Source organism: Homo sapiens, chromosome 11 (genome assembly GCF_000001405.40).
Source record: "Homo sapiens chromosome 11, GRCh38.p14 Primary Assembly".
Taxonomy (NCBI): domain Eukaryota; kingdom Metazoa; phylum Chordata; class Mammalia; order Primates; family Hominidae; genus Homo; species Homo sapiens.
The window spans coordinates 126,655,542-126,681,258 of NC_000011.10; the positions used below are offsets into that span (position 1 = coordinate 126,655,542).

The following is a 25,717-nucleotide window of genomic DNA, read 5'->3' on the forward strand; positions in this document are numbered from 1 at the left end:
CCTGCCCAGGGAAGGCAGCTACTGTGTGTCCCCCTGGGGACTGGAACCACTTTGCAAAGAGCGCAGATCTGCAGTTTTCACAACGCAGTTGTCATCTCGGGAGCAGTGTGTGCCCGTCCACCCTGGGAGAGGCTTATGAAGGCTGTGTCTCAAGCATTTCAGGGGGCTGCAGATTTAGGGGGACAGTCCTGGTGGCTTGGTCTTAGGCTTGTCTTGGCTCAGGTTTCTGTGTGGCAACAGCATGATAAAAATTCTGTCCACTCTACCAAAATGGGAGAAGCAATAGCAAGACAGCAGGGCAGCAACAGTCAGTTCTTGTCTGGCTTTCCAGGACAACGTGACTTTCTCTTATTTTTTGTTCCTGACACTGTTTGCACTGACTAAGATATCACGATGATGAAACACTGTTGAATCTAAAAGGTGGGTGGGGCTGAAGGAGGGGTGGGAGGAGGCCTTAGAAGCTAATTAGAATCCTCTAGAAGTGTGTGGAAATGGGAACCTGAGCCAGGAGAGTCCTGTGGATTCACTAGATTCTGGGACTATACCTTATCTATGCTGTGCAAAGGAATAAGAAACTAGTGCTGTCTCGGGAACCAGCAACACAGATGTTCCCAGGAGCAATGTTTGCAGGTGAGTGAGGTCAGGGAGGGCTACAGAGTTAGGACTCCGAAGTCAGAAAGATGCCTGTTGGTTCTGCCGTTCATATCTGTGAGATATCAGGCTGGTTTCTTAACCATAACCTCCATGATTCAGTTTCTTCATTTGCAAAATAATTTAAATAAGATAATATGTTGAAAACTCTTAGCACCCAATAAGCCTTCAAAATTATAATTGTTTTGTATGTTTTGGCAAGAAAATAGAATAATATTATTATTGGAGTCTCTGGAAAACCTAGGTTTCCAAACCTTTCACCTTAAGTAGATTTTTATAAAATGAGACTTCACGTGGAATCTCAACATACAAAATTGGCATAAGTGGGGGATAAGGCAGCAGGTGACAGTGGTTGCGTGCTCCTGGGCACCGCCTGCCCAGCCCCTGCACTGATTGTCTTACCCACAGGGGCAGTTTAAATCTTCATGCTTTTACCACCTTATACTGAGTAAGAAGATGAATTTGCACAGATTTCTCCCTGCATAATTTCTCCGTATCTTTAGCACAGTTTGGTGATGACTTTTAAGCTTTGACATCATGTACTCATAACCTATCTCTTATGAAAATAAATGAAACTGGCTAGGCGTGGTGGCTCATGCCTGTGGTCCCAGCACTTTGGGAGGCCAAGGTGTGTGCATCGCTTGGGGCTGGGAGTCCCAGACCAGCCTGGCTGTCGTGGTGGGACCCCGTCTCTACTAGGAATACAGGGGTTGGCTGGGCATGGTGGTGTGTGCTTGTGGTCCTGGCTGCTTGGGAGGCTGAGGCATGAGAGTGGCTTGAACCCAGGAGGCTAGGGTTGTGGTGAGCTGAGATCATGCCACTGCACTCCATCCAGCCTGGGCAATGGAGTGAGACTGTGTCTCAAAAAAAAAGAAACAAAAAAAAACAGAAAAAATAAATGAAACCATGATTTTCTCTCACACTGTATTGTGTTTAATTTTCATTTGTTTATTCTATAAACATGACAGGCTTTTGAACTTTGTATTACCTATATATTTTATAATAGATCATGCATAATCTCTCAGGAGAATAAAATGAGAATTCCAAATAAATAATTAAATAAATAAATAAATAAATAAATAAATAAATCTTCATGGAATCTCAAGGCTCTGAGGGGCCTAGTTAGACAACTGCTGGTTTAAAATATTAGAGAAATAGTGGGCCAGTTCCAAAAAAGTAGAGCCCTGATGACATCCAGCCAGTTAACATGTTTTAGTAACCAAGCAAACCAACCCAGAAAGACATGGATCAGGAGAAACCTCCATATGTGGCAGGGCACAGGTCTGAGAGGTGAGTGCTGGAGGAACCAAGGCCAGAGTGGGACAAGCTGTTTAGCAAAGAAGGGCAGTGTCATTCCTCTTCTCACCCAGTGTGGGGCTGGGACGTGTGGGAACTCAGGGCCTGTAGATGGGTTGGGGGTGAGGTGGAGTAGGGAGATGGAGACAATGACACAGAGACAGTCCGTCCCCAGCCCAAAGAGGACTGCGCTAGCTTGGGAGGGAATGAGACTCAGTTGGCATTTCTGCACATGGTCTGGGTGGACCTGCGCAACTCTGATTGTGTCCATGTAGAAACCTGTGCTGTGTTCAGTCACTGTAATGCTTTTGTAGTTCTATGGCTTTTTCCCCTTTTGCTTCCCCTTAGTTTTCAGAGAAATTCCAATCAGGCTTTACTGCTATCTACCGGAAGAGACAAGAAGGTAATTTGACCAGATCAAGACCACCCAGCCCAGCAGAGCGCAATTCATGACCAGTCCACAGAGCTCTCCTCCCGGATCCCATCAGTTTCACAGAGAAGATGGCATTGCCAAAGCCTGGGGCTGCTCACCCAATCCCTTTGTGTCTGTCACAGCTCTCCCATTTCTGGAGGAGTCGAGTTAGCCCCTCCTTCTCCTTTGAATCTCTTCTCTTTAAGACTCGCAGCTTCAATACCCAAATGCTGCCATGTCTGTAGTGGTAATGCTTGGAATAACAAGTAGTTATTGTCATACAAGAAGAATAAGGAAGCTTTTGATGATCTCGAATAATGTGGATATCTACATCATTTTTGCATGTCAGTGGGTATACCCAGCTTTGAGGGAATGGTTATTTTTATACCTTTCAAGACTTGGTATGCTTAATTATCTAGGGAAACTCATAACCCCAACTTCCTAAGCCACTCCTAAAGAAAAAGCACAGATGCAGTGACTAAAAACTTTCTGGCCTCCTTATACTTCATCTCAGGGCTGGAGGTGACTCAGATGTACCTTGCTATTTTCATGATCCATTGGTGTCTCAGTAATGAATGTTCACCACTGCAGTGCCCTCATTTAGCCTAATAACCTCAGTAAGGTAATGTTTGATTTGTGCTAAGTATCTGATTAAACAACATAAAGTATTTAACCTATTGATCTTTTATACTTTGCCAGCCCTACATTGCTGGATATACTTTAATTACTGACTCGGAGAGCTTTCCTGAATGGGATCTGCATCTCGTTAAGACTTTTTCTTTGTCTTTAAGGTGCCATATCAACAGCTTCTCCTTCTTGTTGCCTCTAGGCTTTTCTTCCACTTCCTGCTCCTCCGCCAGACCCTGCTTGATTCTGCAAGACTGACGTTTGGTTAATCTACTGAAAGTAGAGTCCTTTATGTAACCATGAATCTTACTGCTTATTTTAGAAAGTCAATGACCACATAAACAATCGGACTTGTTACTTTGTCCACCCTGATCTTTGGAGCATGGGAAGTTGTCCAAAGTGACAACCCCATTTTAGGCAGTTGGTCACAGCTGTTGGATGGACCTAACCCTTCTATCTCACAAGGAGACGAGGCCAGTGGGCATCCATCAAGAGAAATTATAGGAAACCATTTAGACTGGCCAATTGGTTAGCTAATTGCTCTAGTCTAAACCACTTCTTAGAAAACTACAGAAAATGATACATTTTCCCTCTTGCCTGCAAGGATATAGTCATGAACGTTAATAATAATTAGCTGCTTTACATGCTGTCTTTTCTTCAAGAATCTCAGACATGGTGAGTTTATTTATTTTTTCTCTTATTTTAAAACTAGATCTACAAAGGCTGAGATAGCTTCTCCATGGGTCCTCCCAAAATGAGAGTGACACCTCATAGGATTAAGAGAATTCAATGAGAAAATTCATATTGAACACTTATCATAATGCCACTGAGTAAGCACTCAAAAAATAGGAGTTATACTATTAGTTATTATTAGTTATATCATCTAAGAAGCCTGCGACTTGTGGGTTGCCCATGAATTTCTGAATAGAGTCAGGCTGGGAGGAAGGCACACTGGTCCAAGTGTCTAGTTACTTTGTCCAGACCACCTGATAAAGACTGTCTCACCCTGTGTGCCAACATCCTTTGGTCTCTGCTGGCCCATCACACATAGGTCTTGGACAAAAAAGAGTGGTTTGTGGAGGATTAAAGGTCATGAAAAGGCGAACATTCACCTTCACTCAAGATGCTGCCCGAAGTCAGATCAGAAGCAGAGTCAGAATGGCTCTCTAAACAGCTTCTCAAAGGATGCCTTCCACGGGCTGATGTGCTTGATAACAATGCAAATGCAAGGAACATGCCCCAGACAACTGAACTGGAATTTCTATGAGCACAGCCCAGGAATTTGCAATTAAATCAAGCTCGTGGGTGATTCTTATGTTCAATAAAGTTTGAGAAGCATACTACTAAGTGTTGCCTTTAAAGGCAACTCGAAAACTTGCAGAAAACATCTAAAGAAGGCTGGAGGTGGCCTGGTGCTTATTGTATAAGAGCATCTGGCAAGCTCCACCCTCTAGGTGGCATTCTGGTCTTGAAAAGCATGATAAAAATTTGGGGTTGCTACTAAGCAGGGACAATTGCGCAGCTTGTGGAGTGGCTTGGAGACCTCCAATAGCCCTGCTAGGATCTGGGGCAGACAGTGGGCACCAGCCGATGCCAGGGTATGTGAAGGGCAAAGGAGGCCCTTTGGGGGAAGAGAACTGTGAGGCCACAGGACTACTGAAATAGAGCTCCATGCCCTTCTCCATTGCCTCTGTAAATACCCTGGGGATCACTTTTACTCTATTTTCTGGCTTCTCTGTCACTTGTGGTGCAGTTGGGATGCTTACTTTCACTTCCAAATGATGATACCTCAGAGAATGCAAACTGTAATGCACATAAGACACAGACAATCCATGGAAAACATGATACTGCTGAGACGTAGGCACATGTTCACACTGACGTGCATTGCATCATTGCATTTGTTCCAAAGCCGGTAAAAATGATTTTCAGATAATCTGCTATTTTGGATCGTCTGCACTGCTGCTTGCTTCCATTAGCATGGCTAATTGAGAACTGACTGTGTGTCTTGGACCATTTCCAGGAAGGGAACCCATTGCCTGTATAATACAGGCTCCCTGAGAGAGCCAAGTAAATGGCTGGAAATGTCAGGTTGAATGCCCACATTGGAGGAGCAAACTTTTGAGGACGACCTGACCATTCTCAGGCCAGAGAAGCAATCTTGTTCAGCATGTCACATTGATTGCCAAGTCAGTAAACCATAAAACTGTCCCACAGCTAGAACATGCACTGACTCTGAGAAAGATGAGGCTTGGTTAGTAAAGGATGAAGCCATTCCAAGACCAATAAAAGATGCAATATGGTTTTCCCTGGGCTGTATATTAACACCATCCTGGCAGCTATAGGGGATAGAGGCTTGGCAAACAACTGTGTTTTGCTTTGACTTTTGCAGAGTGAGGATGAGATAGAGGCCAATGGGGAGATCATCTGAGGCCAGATGAAAGGCTTGGAAAGAGTAAGTCTTTACAGAAACCTAGTCTCTAAAGAAACCACTGATGTTTATGTGTCTTGGCCAGTGTCTTCTGTCATATAACATCTTGGTGAAATACCCCAAATAGATCTTAAAACCAAAACATACTAAGAAAAAAGGAAAATAGAAAGCACAATGTTGTAACTGCCTTCTGGGTAACCATGTTTTGGATGGTGTCATTTTTCTTATGACATAAGCTCCCAGATGGCACAGACACTGTGTCTCAGAAAAAATAGCAACTAGCAGAGGGTCATGCCTCATGTGAGTTTCTGTAAGTATTGTTTGGTTGTGTGTTGTTTATCACAAAGAGAACAGATACTATTGTCAGACAATCTCACCAGCTGCATTTTGCAAGAAGAATGAGAGAAGTCCCCTACAACTTTTACAATTCTGTGTTCTGTCCCAAATAACGACGAGAGATGAATCACCTGGGCTGAAGGATAATTGAAGGAGGAGGCACATTACTCAAGAAGGTCAGAAAGCCTATGTCTAGGATTAATCTGTGCTCATGGAATCGTTTCTATGTGTTGCTAATAGCTAGAGGGTCTGCTGATTTCATCTGTGCCCAGTCAACTCCCTGGGCCCACCTCTAATCAAAAGCAGAGGACATAAACTGTGAAGATTTCCAGGATGGATTTCTGAGGACAGCTGTCTATAGCTTCAGATATGGCACTAGACACAGTGGTGCTCATCATTGGCTGCATGTTAGAATCACCTGAGGGAGCTAGAAAACTATGGATACCCAGGCTCCATCCCCAGAGATTCTGATTTAATTGGTCAGGGATGGGTCCTCTGTATGAATAATTTTAAAAATCACCTAGGAGATTTTACTTGCAAGCAGGGTTGAGACAGCCCGAGCTAAAGCCTCTTTAGTGGTATGAGGGAAAACAGGAGGCTCTGGCTCAGTTCACAAAGTTGAAGATCAAACCCAGCCTTCGAAACAGCATTCTTCTTCTTTACAGGATGACAGGAAATAAAAGACTGTGGGAGTTGGGGTTTGGGTAAAGAGGAAAGAAGGGAAGGGAGAAAAAAGGAGAGAGCCAAAACGCCCATTGAGAGGAAGGGAATAAGATTGATTTTCCCCTAGTAGTTTTTATTCAACCAGGGTCTGAAATGTGCTCAGTCTACCTCATGAAAAGTGTGTCACCCAGGGCACACTGGTGTTTCTATCGCTAGTCACAGAGGCTTCGGGCAACTGCTGAATGGCAGCATTAGGGACCCATAAAAGGAAAAATGCATTGCTATGACTAAGAGCCCATTACCATAACAATTGTAAATGACTTTGGGGAGTCTGCCCATTGACCATCAAAGAAACCAGAAAACGGGGCCAGGCCCCTTGGAGAGCACTAGAGGCTTATGAAAGCCATGCACTGGTAATGTTAGTGTCTTAGTCCCTTCGTGCTGCTGTCACAGAGTACCTGAGAGTGGGTAATTTATAAAAAACAGAAATTTATTTCTTACAGTTCTAGAGGCCGGGAAGTGCAAGATCTAGAGGCTGGCATCTGGTCTGGTGAGGGCCTTCTTGCTGCATCCTTATATGCAGAAGGTGGAAGGCAAGCTAGAACAAGTTAGCCAAACACTGCATAAAGCCTCTTGCATAAGGGCATTAATCCCATTAATGAGGAAGGAAGTCTCATAGCCTGATCACCTCTTGGAGGCCCCACCTCTCAATACTGTCACGTTGGCAACACCTGAATTTTGGAGGCGATTAGGTTTCAACATGAATTTTGGAGGAGTCCAAAACATTCAAATCCTAGCAGTTGGAGATAGCAAAGCACATTGTATGATGTGACAAGAAAGTCACATGGAGGCAGAAAAAGAAGAAGAGACCCAGTGGGTCACCCCAACTTCAAATGGGTTCTCAACATTAACTTTCTAGAGTGTAGGATTTTACTTTTTCCAAAGTCCTTTCTTTTTTTTTTTTTTTTTTTTTGCTCCATCTCTCTGATTCTTACTCATGTATTTCTACTCAGAACTGGAGCCAGGAATCCATACTCCCTGTTCACTGTCCCTTCTGGCAGAAATACTATGGAAGAGCAGATGTCAGTGATACTGCCCGATCTTGGCAAGGGAAGAACCAGCAAGAAGAGTGCAGGGCATCTCCACACGTGGGACTGATGAGCATGGGGAGTGTGGAGTGTGAGAGGCAGGAGAGGGATGTGGGGGAGGTTTTGATATCATGTCTGGCTTTTTTTTTTTTTTTTTTTTTGAGATGGAGTCTCGCTCTGTCACCCAGGCTGGAGTGCAGTGGCTCGATCTTCTTTCACCGCAAACTCTGCCTCCCGGGGTCAAGTGATTCTCCTGCCTCAGCCTCCTGAGTAGCTGGGACTACAGGTGCATGCCACCACACCCGGCTAATTTTTTGTATTTTTAGTAGAGACGGGGTTTCACCATGTTAGCCAGGATGGTCTCGATGTCCTGACCTCGTGATCCGCCTGCCTCGGCCTCCCAACGTGCTGGGATTACAATGTCTGGCTTTAACAAGACAAAGCTTTTGATAGTTTATCTCCTGCAATTCCTGGTTTTCTCTAAGGTGGTGCTGGTTTCTACTACACAGGGAGAGGGATCCACTTGTCATAATTAAAACATCTCATGGAAGCGTATGCTTCTGTGCTTTCCTGGAAAATGTACTAATAGCTGGGGATGGCAGGTTCCCAGGGAAGTGGCACATGACATGTCAGGGGAGTCCAGCAATGGGGAGGCACAACTCCTAGGCCCTTAGATTTGTAGCCTCTGAACCCATTGCATCCTGGAGCCAGTTACAGATTTCATCTGAGGGACAAAAGGAGAGTGAGAGACTTGGAGGCTCCCTTTGGAGCTCTCTGGCAATTCATGATTGTTGAGCAAGAAAGATGGGGAATGAGGAATTAGTTTTCACTGAATTGCCACAGGGCCTGCTCTGACTATAAGCATAGGAGAGCCACCCCAGTCCTGTAAAGCCCTAGAGTTGGGCTAGCAGGGGAAAGCACAAGGTCTGGAGATTGGAAGGAATTTTCCTGAGAGTGTGTGTGTCTGTGCTTTTGAGCCTGTGCCCCTGGCACAAGGGAAATTAACCAGACTCTGCATGTTGTGGGAATTCTGCATGGCAACCTAATAGAGGCTTAGCTTTTCATTAAAATTTCCATTAATACTGGAGCTGTTTAGAGCAAGTTGAATGGGAATATCCATAATGCACCTCCTATCCTCTATTACCATTCTGAGGATCAGAGTGAGGTTTCAGGCTTTTGCTGGGGCCATTAGCATTTTTTTTTTTTTTACCATCATTATGATCATCAACCCAGCACCAATTATGTAGAGCAGGCAAAGTACAAAGAGGCTCACACAGAACCTATCCTTGTCCTATGTGACAGGCAGGGCAAGAGTAAGAGAGCAGGCACGCAGAGGCAGAGAGTGAAGTCTAGTGAGACCACACGGACATGGACTTTCCAGTGTTGAGAAGCACCTCCTTCCTCCCACCTGCCTACTCTAAATGAAACAGCTCTGTCATACTGGGCTAGAGCAATCTCAGGTGCAGGGAAGGCATAGATCTTCTGTTGGAACTGGGGATACTGAAAGGGATGAAGAAGTTCGGCCTCACCTCTTGAGGATCATTTCTACAGCAGAGCTGCCCAGAGGATCACCATTGTTACCAGCTCCGATGTGCCCTTCCTGCATGCCAAAGCCAGTTCTCTCTTGGAGATGGCCACTGTTGCTCTCTGGGCTGTGGGACATCTAGGAAGCTGATGTCCTTGTTTCAGGGTCCTGGGAGGCTGTTTCAATGACATCTCATAGAGACACTTTCCTTTCTAACCCTGGCTGCAGCCTCATGGCACTACTTCCTCATCTATGAACCTCTTGTGCCCTTAGACAGGGGGGCATTCCCTGCCTCAACCACAGGTAGCTGGAGCTCATTCTACAGTGTCCAGAGTGAAACCTGTCCCCTCCAGGCAGAATGAACTGTGCTCTTACTCTGCAGCCTTCGACACATTATTCATAACATGATGATTATTTTGGAGTGCGTTCTTTTGCTTCTCACAATGAGCAGACACTCTACTTTATCCAGCTTGTATCCTCTATGCTAAGTGCACAGCAGATTACATGGTAGTTCCTTATAAATTTTTTAAAAATTGTTGTAGATTTCCTTCCACCTGCCTGAGGTGAGGCTCAACACTGTTACTGATGAAACAGTCCATGTGTGGAAAAACAGAGCCCATTAAAAAGAAAACCCAAACACAGCTAATAGTCTGGGAATGGTGTCTGCAGGATGATGCAGTTGACACATTCTGTTTGTGCCACACGTGTGTTTTGTCACTGAGACTGCCAGCTCTGAGGGGAAAAATTCTACTATAAGAATATTTAAAATAAGATTGAGTACAGTGGCTCTTTGCCAGGTGTGTGTTTCAGGAGGCATTTTAATGAGAACATGCTGTCATGGTCTGAATGTTTGTGTTTCTCCAAAATTCATGTGTTGAAATCCTCACCCCCGAGGTGATGCTATTAGGAGGTGGGGCCTTTGGGAGGTGATTAGGGCATGAGGGTGGAGCCCTCATGAATGAAATTAGTGACCTTGTGAAAGAGGCCCCAGAGAGCTGCCCTCTTCCACCATGTGAGGACAGAGAAAGAAGGTGCCATCCATGAACCAGGAGGCGGGTCTGGACCAGACATCAGATCTGCCAGCACCTTGATCTTGGACTTCTCCACCTCCAGAATGGTGAGAAATACATTTCTGTTGTTCAGTCTAAGATCGTTTGTTACTGCAGCCCAAATGGACTGAGGCACATGCTTCAGCCCCAGTGGTGAAGAGCACAGACTTTGGAAACATGCTATGTGGACCTGAGGTCTGCCTGCAACACTTAGCTGTGTGACCTCAGGAAGGTTTCTTAATCTCTATGTGCATTCATTTTTCATTTGTAAAACTGGAATCATAATAGACCCATCACCTTGTGCCATTGTGAGGATGACATGAGGTAAAAATATATACAAACTTAGAGTAGTTTATACTTATACTGTGTCAGTCTAAAGCGTTGTTGCTATTAATGAATCAGAAAGCCTGGAACTATGATCTGGACCTTTTTATTTTGAAGGCGCTCCTCGGAGATTCTGATTTGCATCCATGGTTCAGAACCACTTGCCTACTGCATTGTCTGTATCATAGAAGTTGAGGAACCATTAAGCATTAATAAATAAGTGCAGCAGGATCTTGGTTCCGCAGGAAGAGTGTGGATTCTTGGAATGCAATTGTCATGTGGCAAGTTATTTCAGGTTTTCTTGTTATCCTCCTCCCTGTATCTATAATGGACAGCCTTGGGTTTTACCTCCTGTCCAGGCACCCGTTCCTCTTTCTGCAGGGATAAGAGTGAGCATGGAAGTACTTAAGCACCAGGGAAAGGGGAGAAAGAAAAAGTGGGGGTAATCCACCAACTGTCTAACCATTTCCTGAAAAATAGAGGGCCAACTACCATTAGAGCTCTTAGAGGATTGCTGAGCCTTCTAAGGGTTTACCAAGAAGGGACAAATCTAATGATAAGAAAGTTACAGCCAAGTTTATTGAACAATAACCCATTTCCTTCATGTAGAAACAATGAAGAAACATTTTTTCTCACTTACATGGCACAAGGAAAACAATATCAATGATTTGTGCTGCCTGCTTGTCGAGTCTGTTTACCAACTTGGCTTATTTTTTTACTGCATGATATGAACACTTAGGGTTAAACAGAGCTCTCTTTTTCTCTCTGGTGAGGTTTTTGCTTTTCCCATTTTTATTTGTATTGACTAGGAGGTCTTTCACCAGAAGAATAAAAGACCATGCTTTTGAGGAGCCAGTCACTGAGTTTCTCTGTTGATCAATCACCATTGCTGGTACAGGTATATTCATTTTGGGTCTGGGATGGATACAGGTTTGATGAAAGGTCCCTGGGGAATGAGAGGGCTTAGCCAACAGTCTCAGGGTCAGCATTTCCTAGTCCTACAAGATTCAGATCCCTGATGTGGAGCCAAGGAAAGGCTTGAGTGACTAGGGGTCTTTTTGAACAAGGCACTTTAATTTGCCAAGAACTCTACATCATTTTGTACAATTTATTTCAGGGAGAGATATCACTTTAAGCTAAAAAACAAAGGAAAAAAGCTCCAGACTACTCCATGATGGAGGACAAAGCATCTCAGTAAATAACTTTGAAAGTCAAGAGTTACAGGAAATAAAAAAAGAAGACAATCAGAGAATGTGCCACTAATGAATTCAATCGCAGCAAAAGTCCATTTCCATTCCCTTGAACTCTACACAATTTCCAGTTGCAAATATCTTTCAGAAGTACTGTACACACACAGTTGGATATTGAGTTGCTTGACAAACATTTCTGATCAAAACTGCTTGCCTAGAAATGGCTGCTGGAGCAACAATAATGTGGATTTAGAATGAGCCGGGCTGTTTGCACATAGGTGTAGTCTATGAGTTTAATGGAGTTTTGCAGAAGGCAATTGCCTAGAAAATAGTGGGTTTTTAAGGATGAACTTTTGACTCCCAATGCGAGGTGAAGGGAAGATCGGGGGAGAATAGGGAGAGAAGGGCTGTCTTTTCTGTTTTCTCTGGGGCACCATGGCTATAATAACTTCTACTTTGCTGTGATGGACTCAGCAATCAATTTATTCTACGATCTTTTCCCAGACACACTCTCAACTCATGTCGGCTTAGTTGAATGGTCACCCTACCTGGATTCTGAGACCCTTCTTGGGGCCTCAATTGGGATATTTACAGCTTCCATTTTTGAGAAGTGTGTGTGTAGAGGCACTAATTTAAGAACAAAAAAGGCCAGTGACATCTAGGGAAATGTCTTCACTTTGGGCAGGAGTGGGATGACCCTCTGAAAGCTGCACAAAAGGCCACAGATCTGGCCGATCTGAGGAGACTGGTGTTTTCTGATCTTGGGACAAAGCAGTTAAAATCCTGGAGCTCTTGCATCTTGGAGAAAAATCCTGTAGCTTCTTTCTCTGGGGCAAGGGGCAAGGCTGTTTGGTCACACTGTTTAGTGATTCACAGCTGGGAATCTTCTGTGTCTGAACAATTTCAGCCCCTCATAAGGGGTTGATAGCTGAGCCCCTGTGTCTTAGTCAGTTTCGGCTATAACAAAACACCATAAACTGGGTGGTTTATAAACAACAGAAATTTATTTCTTACAGATCTAGAGGCTGAAAGATCAAGATCAAGGTGATGGCAGATTTGGTGACTGGTGAGGGCTGGCTTCTTCATAGGCAGTGCCTTCTCTCTGTGTCCTTACATCGTGGAAGGGACAAGAGGCCTTTCTTGGACATCTTTCATAAAGGCACTAATCCCATTCATGAACTCCGTTTTCATGACCTAATCACCTCCCAAAGGCCTCACCTCCTAATACCGTAGCCTTGGAGGTGAGAATTTTAGCTTATGAATTTGGGGGAATATAACCATTCAGAATAAAACACCCTGGCTATAGAAGAGAGGTGGCTTTTCCTCTCCCCAGACAGCTTCCCTTTCCCCACAGTCCAACCGGCTGTCTAAGCTTAGGGAGCTGCCCCTGGGGAAGAGGAGCCCTGTCAACTGCACCCGGAATGATGGCCTTTCTTCCTGTTCTTCCTCGTTAGTTTCTTCCCACTTCTCTAGGATGACAGAGAGGCCCCCCTTCTCGGTTTTCTCAGATAGCATGCCATTTGCTGTCTCAAATCTATAAAGAGCTGTTGGGAAGTTTCTGTTTTTCTTTCTTTCTTTCTTTCTTTCTTTCTTTCTTTCTTTCTTTCTTTCTTTCTTTCTTTCTTTTTTCTCTTTCTTTCTTTCAAAAAAGTTCAATTCTCCTAGGTGGCTCACCTGGGCTTTTAATAATGTTTGGCTCCATTTTAAACCCCTGGCTCTGAGTGTGCTGCTAAGAATCTATTCCTATAGGCGTTTGGTCATTGCAGGGTTAAGAAAATTTGAGCCGTTCCTTTCCTGCCTATGTTGGGGTGCTGGGTACTGACAGTAAGAGTGTCCAGGATGAGGGAATGCATGTTTCCAGTGACTCCTGAAGTTTTATTCACCTGTTAGGGCTTTCCATCCCAATTTTCATCCCTTTTTGACAATTCTTGGTAAAAGCTTTGCAAGTATGGAGCTAATCAAAGGATTTCTGGCTCCCAACTTGTCTGCTCTTTGTTTTGTTTTTGCTTTGGTTTTTTGCTTCTCTGGGGTATGGGTCTTCATCTTGTTTGTTATGGCAAGAATTCCCTTTAGTGACTAGTGTTGGGAGTTGTTAGACCCATTGAACAGATGAAAATAAAAGGGGTCTCTAGATCTGGGATCCTGGCACTGAGTGAAGTTTTCCTTCAGCGTATTTCAAACACGTGCAAGATCTTCCTCCTTCCCTGAGACACTTACCTCTCCTTTAGTTCTCAGGTGTTGGATCATGTCCTCTAGAAAACTTTTCCCTATTTAATCCCATGTATTTTTAACCCACTAACATAATCCCCAATGTTTCCATGTCTTTAGTTAATGCTTGTAATATCTATGTATTTAAGGGCTTAATCATGGGCGGTTAGATTTTTAACTTCTGGTTCGGACTAATACATCTTTTCCAGTGCATGGGTACAGATCTCAGTAGCACACATGGAACATTTGCTAACTCCGTGGTTGACTCATTCAAGCCCTCCCACGAGTCAGATTACCCAGTCAGCCAGTAAATGTTGGAGGACTCCTGCACTTCCTCGTGGGCTTTTCTCTCTTCTCCATTTACATTTTTCTCTCAAGGTTTTGCATGAAACTCCAAGGCTTTAAATACCATTGAGATACAGATGATTTTTTAAATTATAAATCCAGTCTTGACCTATCCCTTGGGCTAAAGATTTGTAGAGTCAACTGTCTTCCTAAATCTTTTTTTGGAGGTCTAATAATTACCGAAAACTGTAACATGTACAAAACAGACTTGTAGCCCCCACCCTGCACATCTGTCTCTCTCCCAGTCTTCAGCATGTCAGTGCATTGCAGCACCATCCACCCCGTTGCTCAAGCTCATGCCTCAGTCTCCCCTGACTCTTCCCATTCCTTCTCCCAGCACATTCCACACACCAGCATGTCCTGTTGGCTCTTGTTTCAAGATACATCCAGAATCTGTTCACTTCTCTGCACTGCCACTGTTCCAGTCCAAGCCTCCATCAACTCTTGCCTGAGCTTCTGTATTAGTCTTCCCAACTGGTCTCCCTGCTTCTCTCCTTGCCACCTAAAATCTATGCCCCACATAGCAGGCATAATGATTTTAAAAAATCAGCATTTGACCAAATCGAATGGCTGTTCATAATAAAAACTATCAAATAACTAGGAATTGAAGAGAATTTCACTAACTTAATATAAAGAGTATAAGAAAAACCTAGAGTTAACATCATACTTAATGGTAAGAGACTGAATGCTTTTGTCCTAAGATTGGAACAAGGTGAGAATATCTGTTCTCACCACCCCTATTGACCACTGTACTGGAAGTCCTAGCTTAGTGCAATAAGATAAGTAAAAGAAATAAAAAGTGTGGAGACTTGGAAGGAAGAAATAAAACTGTCTTTATTCTCGGGTAACATAATTATCTACATAAAAAACCCAAAGAATCTGTAAGAAAACACCTAGTAAGTCAATATAGCAAGATTGTAGGATACAAGGTGAATAAACAGAAGTTAATTTTTTCAATAGAAAGTTGGAATCGTGGTAAGCTGCCTACCTTGCCCCACCCTTGGGGGCTACATTTTAGCTTTTACTGAATGGAATGAAGAAAGATAAATACAAATTTGTGTCTTTAACGAAGAAAAAATTAACTGCTTTCCTCCATACCAAAAATAATCTCAGGAAGTGATTTTGTAGATACAACAAACTTAATGTAAATTTTGTATAGAATGGCGAAGGACCTAGAACAGTCACCACAATACTAAATAAGAAATAAGTTGGAGGACTCATACTACCTGATTTCAAGACTTACTATAATATAAAGCCACAGTAATCAAGACAGTATAATACTGGTGAAGGAATACACAAATAGATCAGTGGAACAGGATAGAGAGCCCAGAAATAGACCCACACAAATAAAGGGACAGTGTTTTCAACAAATGGTGGAGGAACAATTGGCCATCTATATTAGAAACAGAGACTAGACACAGATCTTACATCCTTCATAAAAAATTGCTTAAAATGAATTATACACCTAGATATAAAACATGAAACAATAAAACTTCCAGAAGAAAACACTGGAGAAAATCTATGGCCTTAGATTGGTGATGAGTTTTTCTCCTTTTTTTTTTTTTTTTGAGTCGAGGTCTTGCTGCACTGCCCACACCACTCTTGAACTCCTGAGCTCAAAAAATCCCCCTGCCTCAGCCTCCTGAGTAGCTGAGATTACGGGCATGAGCCACCATGCCTGGTTGGTGATGAGTTTTTAGATATTACACCAAATGCATGATCCATAAAACAAAAAATTGAAAATTTTGGCTTTATTAAAATTAAAAACTTTTGCTCTGCTGAAGACATTCTTAACATGTGAAAAAGACAAGTCATTGACCAGGAGAAAATATTTGTAAATCACATATCAGATAAAACACTTGCATCTAAAATATACCAAGAATCCTGAAAACTCAACAGTAAGAAAGCAAATGGTCCAACTTAAAAAATGGGCAAGAGATCTGAACAGACACTTCACCAAAGAAGATACACAGATGGCAAAGAAACATATCAAAAGATGATCTATAGCATCTGTCATTAGGGAAATGCAAATTAAAATTACAACATACCTCTACACACCTCTTAGCATGGCTAAAATCCAGAAAAGCTGACAATACTGGCAAGGATATGGAGCAACAGGAGCTCTCATTCATTGCTGCTGGGAATGCAAAGTGGTACAGCCACTTTGGAAAATAGTTTTGAGAGTTTCTTACCATGCTAAACATAGTTTTACCACATGATCAAGTAACTGCAGTCCTAGATATTTACCCAGCTGATTTGAAAACTTACGTGCACACAAAAACCTCCACGAGAAGGTTTATAGTACCTTTACTTGCAATCATCAAAACTGGAAGCAACAAAGATGTTCTCCAGTAGGTGAATGGGTTAATAAACTTGGGTTTTTTAAATACACAATTAAGCTATAATTAATAGCATGCCCCATGCATAATCACAGAGTAAAACAAGAAAGGCCCAGCCCATTAGGTCAAACATGCTGAGTGTTGTGGAACAGCAAAAATCTATTTCTAAAGACTTGAACAGTAGCTGGAAACATAAAAGTTCAGATTATTGGCTCAGTTGGACTTGATTATATGAGACTAGTGTGTATATAAAGACCCTAAAGTTGGGAGGGTATGTTTAAGAGATACATGAAACCAGCAGGACAGGGTGGTGCTGACATCACTTTACTACAAATAAAGTTGTTATAAATCCATATAGTGGGATACTATTCGGCAATAAAAAGAAATGAGCTATCAGGCGACAACATGGATGTATCTTAGATACATATTGCTAAGTGAAAGAAGCCAGTCTGAAAAAACATATTGAATGATTCCATTTATATGACACTTGAAAAGGCAAAACTATAGAAAAAGAGCAGTAGTTGCCAGGGGCGTGGGCAGAGGAGAGGGTTGAATAGATGAAGCACAGGGGATGTTTTTAAGGCCGTGAAAATATTCTGTACAATACTGTAATGGTGGTAGGGTATAATAAAAATATACATATTGGATCTTTGTCCTTGGTTCCCAGCATGGAGCTGGGAGGATACAAAGAATAATACCAACAGCTCTGAGAGTACATAGGGAATTTGCTATCTAGTCAGGTACGTGTTACAGTGTCTCTTTTCTTCTATGTCCAGTGAGTTCCTCCCTTACTTGTTAAGGACCTAAACTAACAATCTAGTTAATTAACCAACCAATTCCCTCACTCGTATTTGCATTAGTGTTTCAATTGCTTTGCGTTAACCTTAAGTTTCAAAATTTCTTAAGCCGGTTTTCAGTAATCTGCCCTTCATCAAATTATAGAAAGTAGCATAACAAATAGGCTTGAGTTTCCTCATCTCCTGGCCCTCCTCCGTCTCTGGGGAAAATATTAAAGACAGAAATGGTCCCCCAGTGTAGAGCTGGAGCCAGGAAGCAGGAATACAGTTGAGGGCTAGGATAACCAAATGAAAAGCAGAGCTGGGTGTTGGGCAAATTGGTTGTATTCCGCGAATGCAGACAGCTACACCTGCAAAGACGCAGGAATGCAGATGATCAGATAAACCAAGTTCAAAGAAATGAGGCCACACTTGGCTCGAAAGAGCGGAGAGGTTGGTGGGTCAGTGAGATAATTGTGCTGCTTGTTCAGAATCTGAACCAGTCCCGTCTGTTATCTGGTCAGGACAGGTGGCTTGCAGGCAGAGTTTGGGCTCAGGCAGGTGGCACCAAGAGGAAAATTTATGGATAGACCTTTAACTCTGGTCACTTTGGAGCCCAGCAGCTCTGGAAATTGGATCCAGATGGATAGTATTTTGATAGCTTCTCCTAACCAAGGAATTTATGCTGATTTTCAGGACCCAAGGGGAAGGAGGAAGCTCCTAAAGGCAAGGAATTCATAATTGCTTCTTACCATGTTTCCAAAATTCATCTGTGTTTTCACTCACCACCACAGTCAGGGCTGGCACAGGGACTGGGGAATGAAAAATAAATGAGGGCTCAGGGCCTCACTCATCACACGTGTGCCTTCCATGGGATGTCCTGGAGCAGGACAGGGAGGAGTGTGGGGAATAGTCTCCTAATTCAGGAAAAAGTCTAGGTTGGGTCTGTAAGATCTTCCTCCACTGAGAAATGTATTAATCCTTGCCCTGCTCATAGAAGCAATGAAAGAAGCTCTAAACACCGGGATGGATGTTCCTCCCTCCACATTTGGGTTTTTGCGTGAGTTAAACTACTGGAAGGGTGGAGGGTTCTCCCTCTGTACGGAGCTCAGTACAGGCCAGGAGGGCCCATCTATGTGAACACTTCTCTGAAAATGAAGCTACTTCTGGTCATAGCTCTGCTGTTAACTGTGTAATATGGGTAACCCCTTAACTGCCTCTGGGCCATGGTGTCTTCACCGGACATTTGCATGAGAGCCAGAGGATGGCCAGGACCCTTTCAAGCTCTCATCTTCAATGCTCCTAGAATCTCCGTTGGAAACCATTTGGCTCTGCTGGAATGTTACAGAAAGAAGGCAAGGGCAATTCTTCTTTTCTCATGAATGTTTTGGGAATTCTGTTGCTTGGAAGAGACTTCAAAGACTGTATCTTCTGCTTCTCTGTGAGATTCATCTCCAATTTATGTCACAAGGAGATGGGATTTTGAAGGCATACTAGGTGATCTCCATCCAGGTTTTCATAGCTTTTGCAAGCACTTACTGAGCACCTGCTATGTGCCAGACCTTGTTCTCATAAGTCCTGATTTCATACTAAGACATCCAGACAAAGAGGTAGCATAAACAAAGGGCTTGAGCCAGTAAAGATGATAAGCAGGATGAAGAATACTGTTGCTCAGTCCCCAGTCAGATAGAGCATCCAACAACAGCCTGCCCAGCTACTCTCAGAATCCTGACACTGTGGCCCAGTGCCCATCTCCTTTCCTAATTCCAAGCAAGAAATCATCCCCAATACTGACATTCACCAACAGCCCTTGCACTGCTTGGGGACCTACAAAAGGAGATTCTTTTCATTTCTCTTCCAAATTTCATGGCAAGGGCATTTGGAGGAGTTAGTGGAGAAGGATGGCAGGGGCTTTGAGTTGTCATCTTTTCTTAGGAGCTAAGAATTTTAAATTGTACTTAATTGCTGGTCACAGTCAATGGATTCTAAGAATCTGATGTGCTTACCCTGCACACTCCCACCAGTCCCTCAGCCTGGGCCAGCCATAAAAACACATTACTGGTGTCTGCCATTTGGATGGCTGGAGGAGATGGCGTAGTGAGTTTTATTTTTACCTGAATAGTGGGGAGCCAGCTGATGTGGTGCACCTCGTGTTAACCAATAAGCACCTGATGGGATTTGCCTCACGTCAAGAGGAAGAAGGGGCTCTTGGCTCTACTGGGCCACATCCCAGTTCAGTGTTTGTGGAAGGCATTCACCTTGGAGCTTGTTGCCTGCCAGGCCCCACTCTTAGGGCCTCTTCGATGCTGGGGAGAATGATGTCAGCACCACCCATTCCTGCTGGTTTCATTTATCTCTTAAACATACCATCCTGGCATTGGAGCCTTTACATGCTAGTCTCATATAATCAAGCCCAACAGAGGCAATGATCTGACCTTCTATGTTTCCAGCTACTATTTATGTCTTTAGAAATGGTTTTCTACATTCCATAGCACTCAGCATGTTTGACCTAATGGGCTGGGTCTTTCTTGCTTTCCTCTGTGATTATGCACCAGGCATGTAATTAATTATGGCTCAATTCTATATTTTAAAAGCCCACAACTTTGGACTGAGATTACAATGAACAACATTTAGCATTGGCTTACCTCTGCTTTCACGTGGAGCTGAGAGATGGAGTTAGGTAGTAGGGAGTGAAGTTTGTTATGATAGGATTGAAACCTGCAGGCAGCAGTATTAGATAATTTTTCTCTAGCTGGGGATCTGGGGGTGGTGGAGACCAAGAGGTCAATCACCAGCATGTAATGTGGGGCCATCCCAATGCCTACTGTCGTTGCCACTCCCAAGAACAAAGAGCCTGCTTCCTGGATGACTGGGAGCCAACCATGGTGGAAGTAGGGAGTAAAAAGGAACTAACAGGGTCAGCTCATGAAAGGTTTTGTAAGCCAAGCATAGGAATTTGAACTTTATTCTGTAGGTAAAGGGAAGTCATTTGAAGCAGGGAAATGATCACTTCAGCAGCTGTATGGGTAATGGATTAATGAGGAGAGACTGGAAGCTTGGAGGCCACTTAGGAGGCCACAGCAGTAATCCAAGCAGAGAAGAGGAAGCTGTTTAATAGGCAGAATTGAATGAACGTGTTGACTGAAAGATAGAAGGAGAGGGAGGTGTTGATGACTCCATGCTTTTGGTTTGAGAAGCTGGATGGATGATGATGTTAACACCAAGAATAAGAAATCCAGTAGGAGGGAGAAGTTTGAGAAAGGAAGAGGATGCCAGGTCCAGTTTGGGACATACTGAATTTCAGATGGTTTGGGGACATTCAGGTGTTTCATTGTTTGGCCATGTAGGTCTAGAGCTCTGAAGAGAGACTTCATTAGAGATTACAAGCAGGGGTGTCATCAGCATCAAGGTGCTAGTAACTATCACGGGCAAAGATGAAATCAGCTAGGAAAGAAAGCACAGAACCATCAGGAGGGAAACACTCAGGGCCAGGCCGAGGCAGAGAAGCTTCTGGAGGGCAGAGACTGAGAAGATGCTTTCATAGCCTGGAGTGAAGTCTGTCCCATCTGTCCTATCTCAGTTCAGGCTAGAATTCTCTCCTACCCTGGGGCCTCTCTAGTCCCCCAGGGCCACTGGGCTGGCTCTGCAGTTGGCCACACTGAGGCTGTTCTTTGACCAGTGTTTCTCAAATTTGCACCTGCAGATGTTGTATTGTTTTGTTTTGTTTGAGTTGGGGGGAGATGCTGCGAGTCCTTTAAAGAACCTCCCATAGCAGTCTGTGAATACGTATTCTGAGGGGTCTTTGAGTTCTCAAGTTCAGGAAACTCAGACGTGGTCCTGGACTCTCCTTGCCTGGACTTGAGGTAACTGCCTTGGCCTCCCTAAGCCAAAGATGCATCTGGGCCCCATATGCGACCCAGGGCTTCCCATGGCAACATGTGGTGTTGTTTTTACTACTGCAACTTTTTATTTTTCTTTAGAGCTGATTTTTTTTTTTTCCTTTTGAGACAGAGTCTCCCTCTGCCATCTGGACTGGTATACAGTGGCTCAACCACAGGTCACCGCAGCCTCGATCTCCCAGGCTCAAGCGGTCGTCCTGCCTAAACCTCCCGAGTAGCTGGGACTACAGGCATGCACCACCACACCACGCTAATTTTTAAAAAATTTTTTGTAGAGACAGGGTCTTGCTGTGTTGCCAGGGCTGATCTTGAACTCCTGGGCTCAAGTGATCCTCCCGCCTTGGCCTCTCAAAGATTTTTTTTTTTTAACAGCTGTATTGAGATACAGTTCACATATGGCCCACTTAAAGAATACAATTCAGTGATTTTTAATATATTCGCAGATTTGCACAACCACCACCACAGTCCATTTAGAACCTTTTAAAATCACCCCAAAGAAACCCTGTACATTTTAGCTATCCCCTTAGCCTCAGCCTCTCCCTCCCCATCACCTGGGTTTTAGGCGACTACTAATTTACTTTCTGGCTAATGGATTAATGAGGAGAGGCTATAGATTCCCCTATTCTGGACATTTCGTATAAGTGGAACCATAGACTGTAACTTTTTAGGATTGCACGTTCCCATCTGATAACCGAATCTCCATTCTGGAGAAAGGATGTTGGCATAGTCTGGGTGCTTTGCTATCTATTATCTCCTCTAATTCTCACCACCTCTTTGGAAAGCCAGCCTTATCAACCCCATTTTAGTTGAGAGTGCTGAGGTTCGGAGGTGAAATGACTTGTCAGAGGCCCCAGGGACAGTCAGTGGAAGCACGCTGAACAGGGAGGGGCACCCAGCTCTGTCTGGCTGCATTCGCTGAGCTGTCGCTGTGCTAGGTGCTGAAGCAGGGCTGGGATGGGGGTGTGAAGACAGAAAATCCACCAGCAGCTCGCACGAGTGGGTCCTCCCAGAATGAGTCCAGGGGAGCCCCCTGGACCAAAGCAGGACAGAGCTAATTCCAGGAACAACTGCACATTTGTCCACTGGTTGGAGTGAGCCTCCCCCTTTTACTGCATCTCCACGAGGCAGAGGAAGTGGCAGTGGCCTGAGCCCTCAGATACCTGGTGCCCTGGGAATGTTCCCAACCAGATGATTATGGCTGTTGTCACCACCAAGCCCTGTCTTGTCATCAGCCTCAGTGTCAGGCCCTGGGACCCAGAGACACACCCCGTCCCCAGGCTCCAGCTTCATGGAGCTTCAGAATCAGGCCCTGTTACACCCACTGCAGGGAACTTATCATCTCATTATAAAGGATAAGGCATATTTTTTCAGTATGGTTATACGCGGTAATGAAGCATGCAGGAAACCACACAAGATAGATGGCAGCTTTCACTAGTGAAGCTGAAAACTTGGTTACCTTAATAGTCTATTTATTACATTCACTCTCTGAGCTTACAGCACCTGATTAATATCTCCCATCTTCTCCCTTGCTATACAATTAAAACTAGTAATATGTGATTGCACATGCTGACTCCAGCACAGATGGGTGTGTGGAGTTGAAGGCCGAGATAAGAAGTGAAGGGGTCAGGCGTGGTGGCTCACGCCTGTAATCTCACCACTTTGGGAGGCCGAGGCGGGCAGATCACGAGGTCAGGAGATTGAGACCACCCTGGCTAACATGGTGAAACCCTGTCTCTACTAAAAATACAAAAAATTAGCCAGGCATGGTGGCAGGCGCCTGTAGTCCCAGCTACTCAGAAGGCTGAGGCAGGAGAATGGCGTGAACCTGGGAGACGGAGCTTACAGTGAGCCGAGATTGTGCCACTGCACACCAGCCTGGGCGATAGAGCAAGACTCTGTCTCAAAAAAAAAAAAAAAAAAAAAAAAAAAGAAGTGGAGAAGGAATGTTCTTCCTGGGTCATGATAGAGGAGTCAGATCCCTTGCTGGTAAGGGAGTGATCTTACAGAATTAATTACACTCGAGGAGAAAAGGACCCTATGTCCACTGCCCAGTCTCACCCATTGCCGTGGCTTCTGGCAGGGGAGTGGTGAAGCCTGCACAGAGAGAGGATATCAGTGGAGGTGGCCATACGGCCTTTAATCAGCAAAAGGAAAGATGGCTGGACTTTAACTCATTTGCTTGGATGAGAATGTTTGAGGTTGAATTCGATTACAATGATGTAGCTACTCAAAAGCCGCTCCCAACTTCCTGCTCCCCTGCCCACCTGCTCCTGAAGAGCTGAGCATTTGGCCAAGTTCTGACCAATGAGATGTAAGGAGAACTCTGCTGAGGGGTTTCTGGGAGAGATGCTTTGCTTTTTGACAAAATGGCAAGTCACATTATGAGAACTTGCTGGTGCTGCCCTCTGCCCCTTCTTCCTGAATGTGGATGTGATGACTGAGTTTGGGCTGCCATCTTGTGAGCATGAGGATGAAAACGTAACATGCCATGGATGGTGGAGAATCACCAGGGAGAGCCTAGGTTCATGATTACATCACCCAGCTGACAGCCCAACCCTGGGGTCATCTACTTCTGGACCTTTTGTTAAGCAAACAATATATAGCCTTGTGGTTGAAGCCACAGTTAGAAGGGCATTATGTTCCTTGCAGCTGAGAAACATACCTACATAATCTAAATGGCTCCATTTATTGAGCAGCATATGCGTGTCCTTTGCTAAGTGCTTTGTGTTCATTTTGAAGCTTCAAAACATGTTCCCTTTAAGGGAGCTACTATGACCTCTGTTTTATAAAGGAGGACACGAGTTTTAAGTGTATAAGGTCACACACCTATTCCAGGAAAGAGCAGAGCTAAGATTTGAATCCAAGTCTTTCTGACTAGAGAGTTATTACTATTAATCATAATATTGTGACTTTGTAGACAGTTCATCTCAACACTGAACTCTGGGAATGAGTGTTACTTAAAGTCTGGTTGGCATAATAGTACTCAGTATAAATCACGAAGTTTTTCCACATGACCCACTAAAATAAGGTGAAATTCAGTCTTATTGGTGATTGAAAATTGCATATTTTTTACCTGCCTCAACCCACTCCAAATAGCCGGGGTTGAAATTAGTTTAGCTAACCTAACTTGCCCCAGCCAATTGGATGGCCAAAAAGTGAAATGTGTATGAAGGGAAAAGGTCCCAGAGAGAGAATTTGAGTTAAAAGACCACCAGTCCGAGCCTGTGTGCAGCCCATCTCATAGCTTTTGAGTACAAAGCAGGAAGCCTCTCCTTCCGTGGCATTTGAAGACTCAGAGCAAGGTTAAGATGGCTTTGAAACCTGGGTCTGGTTCTCCCAGAAACACTTCTGTTGCTTCTCCTCATTAAAGAAAACATTCCAAGTGTGCAATTGTTCTCTGAGATGAATTTCTCAAAACACATGTGAACTACTTGAGACTATTCTAATTCCTGGAGGTGCCTAGTCAGTGCTGGCCATATAACAGATGCTCAGTAAAGATCGGTTGCTTTCATGACCAGTGAGGGCAACAGAAAAAACAAAAGATCTCTTAATGAATATGATTCATCCTCCTAGCCTCAGTGAAAAGGCAAAAAATAGGCTGCTTTCTTGGAAACGTGCCAGCTAATGGTACTTAGCATGCAAGGGACCGCGTACTGATCCATACCCATTAGCCCAATGCTCATCAACTCTTCTACTGGAGATATATATATATATATATACACATAGCCAGCAGCCAACAGAGGGACTTGGCCACATGCTGATTCTCTCTCCCCTCCCAGTCCATCAGACCATTATTCAGCAGGAGGTAGTAGGGTCTTCCCCTCCCTCTTATGCCCTTTAGGGCAGGAGCTATCTAGAGAGGGAAAAAAAGTCAGAATAAACATATGCAAGGACTGGGGTTTAAACATCCCATGAAGATTAACTTATCTGGAGTAATTGCCTTAACTAGGGGATTTTTAATGCTTTTCAAAGTTTTTTAGAGGAAGAAAAATATGCAGAATGAGTCTTAAAGCAGCCAACAGAGGAGATACTTAGAGCAAAAAAAAAAAAAAGATATCAACCATAAGAAGCCCATAGCTAGGAAATTTTAAGGCACTGATTCTAGGGGATTTAATAAGAATGTAATTTGTATAATTAACCATTCATCAATGTCAATTTCATTAAATGAATGCCAGAAATATTACCTTCAGCAGCACGACCTAACAGGATTGAATATATTATATGAAAAATGAACACTTAGTGGTTTCCCCCACTGCTCTGTCTGTCACAGCAAGATTTGCAAGGCTGAGAAATAATTTAAAGGGTAGTAAATGAAACCGGCTAAGGCAAATGTGTGCATTTTGGTAACTAACCTCCGTCATGATGTATGAGAGTTCATGTCAAAATGTTTTCCTGCAGCAATGACTAAAGGGACTTGTAGCTCTCTCCCAGGTGGCAAAATGTGAGAAATAATGCCAGGAACTTCCCAAAGGTCCCCCTTGTCACTCGCCTGGATACAGCTTACTCTTTCCCTAGATAGGCTGCCTAGGGTCTAAGACCAGAAGCCATGTGTTTTTGTGTC

The 25,717-nt window shown here is 43.8% G+C and overlaps 1 protein-coding gene and 1 long non-coding RNA gene across 19 annotated transcripts in view; one reads left to right on the top strand and one right to left on the bottom strand.

The window, feature by feature from the left end:
* The window catches only part of KIRREL3 (kirre like nephrin family adhesion molecule 3), a 580,037-nt gene that overhangs the window by 232,184 nt on the left and 322,136 nt on the right, over nt 1-25,717 (bottom strand). The gene's annotated exons all lie outside the window — the stretch shown is intronic.
* KIRREL3-AS4 (KIRREL3 antisense RNA 4) overlaps nt 1-25,717 on the top strand; it is a 29,327-nt gene that overhangs the window by 2,764 nt on the left and 846 nt on the right. Inside the window, exon 1 of one of the 2 annotated variants that reach the window (NR_120533.1) lies at nt 545-630. The exons of the other annotated variant lie outside the window; for it this stretch is intronic. This is a non-coding gene — a long non-coding RNA (KIRREL3 antisense RNA 4). Of the gene's footprint in view, nt 1-544; nt 631-25,717 lie in introns of those variants that run through there. 2 annotated transcript variants of the gene reach the window in all.